Below are 6,000 nucleotides of genomic sequence, written 5' to 3'. Positions count from 1 at the left end.
TCCACCTCCCGGGTTCAAGTGATTCTCCTGCCTCAGACTCCCGAGTAGCTGGGATTACAGGCACCCACCACCACGCCTGGCTAATTTTTGTATGTTTAGTATAGACAGGGTTTCACCATGTTGGCCAGGCTGGTCTCGAACTCCTGACCTCAGATGATCCACCCACCTCAGCCTCCCAAAGTGCTGGGATTACAGGTGTGAGCCACTGCACCTGGCTGGAATTTTATTTTTTAATACAACTTTATTGAGATATAGTTTACATCCACATAATTCACCTATTTTAAGTGTATCATTCAATGGGGTTTGGTATATCCACAGGGTTGTTCGACCATTGCCACAGTGAATTTTAGAATATTTTCATCATACCGAAAAGAAACCCTACATCCCATAGTAGTCACTCCCCATTTCCCTACAGCAACTTCAAAACCTAGGCAACCCCAACCTGCCTTACCTTTTACTGCCTATTTGAAATTAAAAGGTTAAATCCTCTTCCTGGCACAGTGGCTCATCCTTGTAACCCCAGCACTTTGGGAGGCTGAGAGGGGAGGATTGCTTGAGGCCAGGAGTTTGAGACAGGCCTGGGCAACATAGACCCAGTTTCTACCAAAAAAAAAAAAAAAACCATATATATATACACGTATATATATACATATATATATACGTATATATATATGTATATATATGTATATATGTATATATATATGTATATATATACACACATATATATATACACACACATGCATATACACACAAGCTGGCTCTTGCTTGAGTCCAGGATTTGAGGCTGCAGTGAGCCATGATAGTGCCACTGCACTGCAGCCTGGGCAACAGAGCGAGGCTGTCTTTTTAAACATAAAAATTCAGCCAGGTATGGTGGCTCAGCCTGTAATCCCAGCACTTTGGGAGGCTGAGGGGCTGAGGCAGGCGGATCACGTGAGGTCCGGAATTCAAGACCACCCTGGCCAACATGGCAAAACCTCATCTCTACTAAAAATACAAAAATTAGCTGGGTGTGGTGGCGTGCACCTGTAATCCCAGCTACTTGGGAGGCTGAGGCAGGAGAATGGCATGAACCCAGGAGGCATAGCTTGCAGTGAGCAGAGATAGTGCCACTGCACTCCAGCCTGGGCGACAGAGCGAGACTCCGTCTAAAAAAAAAAAAAAAAAATCACATCCTCTGAGGCTTAGTTTTCTCATCTAATCTAATAACACATGTCTACTCTGGGGTGGCCCACCTCTTTACTGACAAACACTGTAGGTCTGTGAGTAGGAACCCAAGCTTTGCACAGTGAGGCAAAAGTGGGACTCGGGTCAGACTCTGGGCTGACGACGCCTGAGTGAGGCAGTTGATGGAGACAAAAATCTCTGGACAGTGGGGTCAAAGGGCAAAAGGCAAATACAAGTTCATGGGTAGGGAGCTGACAGACTTTGCAGTGCTGGTAGCCCTTTGGTGGCACATGTCCTCCTTTGGAAGGCTCAGGGAGACGGTCCCATAGCGGGGTAAAGTCCACGGGCAATGGAATCAGAGACTGCAGGTATAAATCCTGGCCCCAAGTATAAAATACTTGCTAGTTGTTTAAACTTGGGTTGGCTTCATTTTGCTCATCTGTTACATGAGGAAGGGGCCGGGACTGGGATGAGTGGGCCACAGCACACAGGCATACTACGCTTCCCTCCCTGCTTCCCGAGTGCTTGCCACATAGCCAGACCCCAATTCTCCCCCAGGTGGGGCACAGGGGTCCCTGCATATTTCCAGGAATGTGACAGCAGGGGGCTGTCGGTCAGCTGTTCCAGCCTCAGCAGAGGGGCAAGACCAGACCCCAGCTTGCTCTGGCCCAGGAGAACCCAGGGCAGCTTGGAGCACAGAAATTTCTAATGAGCATCCACCTTCCCCTCTGGGCGGGCCAGGCTGTTTGTTACTGTGCTATGGAAGAGTGAGGGTCTAAACCCAGCTCTCCCTCCTAGGCCATAAGACCTGACACATCTGGCCCACACCCCACAATGACTATACAGGCAGCCAAGCACCTCTCTCCCCCTTGAAATCTCTTCCCAGCCCACCAGCATCTTCCTCTCCCAAGGAACTGGGTTTGCATGCACACTCCTTCTTTTTTCAGCTCTTCACTTGTCACCAAAGCAAACATCTATAAACTAAATGTATAAACTTGACGCTGAAAGAGAAACTGTTATCTCTCACCCAGGGGTCTTCGGACCGACACTGAACACTGAACATTGAACAGCTGAAGAAAGGTGTTCCCTGCTTCCTAAGTCTTTCCACTTAGATTTTTGGCCTAACGCAGGTACATCAAGTTTCTTCCCCAGCTGCCTACTGGAAGCAACTATCACAGTCTTAAAATTGGGTGTTTCAGGGTGGGAATCTGGAGGCACCTGCAGCTGGGCTCACCTTAGAACTCAGGGAAGGAAGCAGGCCTTCATGGTATCAGTCAGGACCGACTCCAGTCAGCTTAAGCAAAAAAGAAAAAGGCTCACGTGGCTGGGAAGGCCAGGATGGAGGCAGGTGCAAGGGGCTCACGGACGCTGGCACCACTCCCAGCCCCTCTTCCTTCCACAAGTGTTGCCCTCATTCTGACTTGTTAGGGAGAGGGCCAGGCAACTCCACCATGCCCATTTAGCAACACCAGTGGAAGAAGAGCTTCCCTCTCCCAGTCCCCAGGAGGGTTCCAATAGGCCCGTTTATCACCCCACAGCCCCGGGGCACAGTCCATCTCCAGAAAAAGGAGGACAGAAGGACAACCAACAACAGGAGCTACCACAGTCCTCTGCATGGCAGCTATTTTCAAACATGGGAAACTTCTCCTCTCTGCATAAAAATAGAGCTCAAATGCTCCAAAGTTGGAGCGGAGTCTGGAAGGCTGAGATTGCTGCCAAGAACAGCCATTCTGCAGATAGAGTTCTGTGTGCTAGACCAGGGTATGGGAGCCCCAGAAAGCAACTGGAGCATGCTGGCATCTCCTAACCCCGACTGAGGAAGGAGGGAACCCCTGCTCTCATCTACAGAGGGAACTAAGCTTGCTTTAACTGGCACTGCCTTGCCCGTCGCGGGCAGGGGAGGCCTCCCCCAGCAGGCCTGATGCTCCCTCCACCCCCGCCCTGGCTCTCCTGCCCCTGGAGGTTGCTCAGCGCAGCAACCCAGCCGCTCCTTGGAGAAAACTCCACCACCTCCCCCAGGAGGAGTTTCACCTCTGGCTCATTCCTGCCTCCAGGCCTCAGCCAGGTGGGCTGCTCCTCTGACCTGTCCCTCCAGGACGCGTTCTGGTCCAGGGATGTGGACCAGGTGGGGTCCCCCCAAGGTCACCTCAGAAGTAGGCACAACTTGCAAAGACAGAGGCATCTGTTCTGTTAGCACAGCTTTGTCTCTTACCTTTGAGTAATAGTAGGCTCCTCCTCCACCCAACCCCATACGCTGATGAGAAGAACGGAGCTCTTCTTGGCCCTGCTTAAGGACACAGACATTTTGAGCAAGACAGTCAATCCTCATGTAAGGAAGCAACCAGCCGGAGGAGGATCAGCCCAAGAGGCAGAGGACAATGAACAGAGAGTCAAAGGACTGAACAGCAGAGGAGGGAGGCTGGAAGAGAACTGGCACAGAAGCAGCACTAATAATGACAACAAAAGCAGCAGCTACTCATTCATCGAGCACTTACTACATGCCAGGCTCCAAGCACCTTACATGCATTGACTCACTGAATTATTTGCACATTTTACATATATTAATATCCCCCAAGATACTTTTTAACTACAAAGAGAAAGACAATACCTTACTGTGGAGGAACCCAGTGCACAAGGTTAATATAACCAGGAATAGGACACAGTGACATCAAGAGCTCCCAATGTGAGGCCTCGAGATGGACAAAACATCACGTCTGTGGTATTCTTGCCAAAAATATATAACCTCATTCTAATCACGCAAAACACCATACAAGCCCAAATGGAAGGACATTCTACAAATAACCAGTACTCATCAGAAGTGTTAAAGTCATGAAAGACAAGGAAAGATTGAGAAACAGATGGGAGAAAACCAAGGAAAAATAACCAAATGCCATGTGGGGCCTTAAATAGCATCTGGGAACAGAAAGTGGACATCTTTGCTGGGCGTGGTGGTATACACCTGTAGGATCACACAAGCCCAGGAAGTCAAGGGTGCAGTGAGCCATGATCACACCACTGCACTCACCCTGGGTGACAGAGTGAGGCCCTGTGTCAAATTAAAAAAAGAACAAAAAAGAAAATGGACATTAGTGAAAAACATTGGTAAAATTCAAGTCAGGTTTGCAGTGCAGTTAATAGAATAATAGCAATGTTAATTTCATTGCTGTTCTTAGTTGGTCCAATGTTGATTTTGATAATTATGATACGATTATGTAAGATGTTAACATTGGGAATACGTGGGTAGAGGCATATGGGTTCTCTGCATACTATTTTTTTTTTTTGAGACTTCGTCTCGCTCTTGTCCCCCAGGCTGGAGTGCAATGGCACGATCTCAGCTCACTGCAACCTCCACCTCCCAGGTTCGAGCGATTCTCCTGCCTCAGCCTCCCGGGTAGCTGGGATTACAGGCACCCGCCACCATGCCCGGCTAATATTTGTATTTTTAGTAGACACAGGGTTTCACCATGTTGGCCAGGATGGTCTTCAACCCCTGAACTCATGATTCGCCCACCTCAGCCTCCCAAAGTGCTGGGATTATAGGCGTGAGCCACCGCGGCTGGCTTCTGCATACTATTTTTATAACTTCTCAGTAAGTCAAAATTAATTCAAAACTGAAAATGTTTACTTTTCAATTTAAAGCTTTCTAAGTGAGGCTGGGCACGGTGGCTCACGCCTGTAATCCCAACACTTTGGGAGGCCGAGGCAGGCAGATCACTTGAGGTCAGGAGTTCAAGACCAGCCTGGCCAATATGGAGAAACCCTGTCTCTACTAACAATACAAAAAATTAGCTGGGCGTGGTGGCGGGCGCCTGTAATCCCAGCTACTTGGGAAGCTGAGGCAGCAGAATCGCTTGAACCTGGTAGGCAGAGGTTGCAGTGAGCCGAGATCGTGCCACTGTACTCCCCCAGCTGGGATGGCAGAGTAAGACTCTGTTTCAAAAATTAAAATAAAATAAAATAGCTTTCTAAGTGAAAGGTTCACCCAACACATCAATGTTATCTCAGAAAAGTAATTTATTGGGTTGGTCTACCAACAATGAACTATGCCAAGACCTGGGATAATGCAGAGAATATTTCTAATTGTCTGCAATAATAAACATCTGCCACAGCTGGGTTTTTTATTGCCATGGCAGCCCCTATTTGTCGAGCAGGTACTCAGTTGCAGGGACAAGTGCTCAACACTCAGCTAGGTAGCATCTCTCCAACTTCTGGAGGAGGGACCAGTGAGACAGGCCACCCCCAACAATGAAATGCTCTCCCCAGGCCTCCAGCACCAGCCTCAGTGGGGTGGTTTTGCATCTTCTCTTTGTCTTGTTCTTCAAGACAGTGAGTGGGAAAGTTCCCCAGCTTTCTTGACAGTCCATCACAACCCCTCCTTCTTCATTCCTTCCGTGGCGACTCACTTTTAGAGACTTTTGCAATTAAATAAATAAAGGCATTTCCCACCAACTTTAAGCCCAACAACTTTATCTTCAGTGTCTACCACTCATTTCTCATATCCCACAAGAGGAAAGATTAATGTGATATTGTTGCTATTTAAGACATCTGAGCTTGTCCATATTCAGATTTTCTTTATTTTTCTGAGGTTTTCCCTGGGTTCTCCCACCTCCCCAGCCAGAAAAACAGCAGCTTCACAGCTGCTGCCAAGGTAGCCACAGCTCTGGCCTCCTGGTTGACTGCAGCTCGGAAGCAGGTAGGTCTGTCCTCAAAGGTTCCAATAGCTGAAACGACAAGGCAGGACCCGGCCAGGTCCCTGCGCAGCGCCTTGGCACCTGTTGCCTGATTGCCGAATCTCCGCCCAGTTCGGTTTCCTGCAAGCCTTTCCCACTGCAG

At 48.7% G+C, this 6,000-nt stretch overlaps 1 annotated feature.

Annotated features, from left to right (window-relative positions):
- Positions 4,113-4,232: a silencer, noted in NCBI's record as "silent region_11536". NCBI's record gives its function as "represses an Ori minimal core promoter by ATAC-STARR-seq in GM12878 lymphoblastoid cells {active_cell/tissue: GM12878}" and the evidence as "EXISTENCE:reporter gene assay evidence [ECO:0000049][PMID:35858748]".

This window comes from Homo sapiens, chromosome 2 (genome assembly GCF_000001405.40).
Source record: "Homo sapiens chromosome 2, GRCh38.p14 Primary Assembly".
Taxonomy (NCBI): domain Eukaryota; kingdom Metazoa; phylum Chordata; class Mammalia; order Primates; family Hominidae; genus Homo; species Homo sapiens.
Note: the sequence above shows the minus strand (reverse complement) of the source record. Positions and strands in the feature narration are given on the sequence as shown.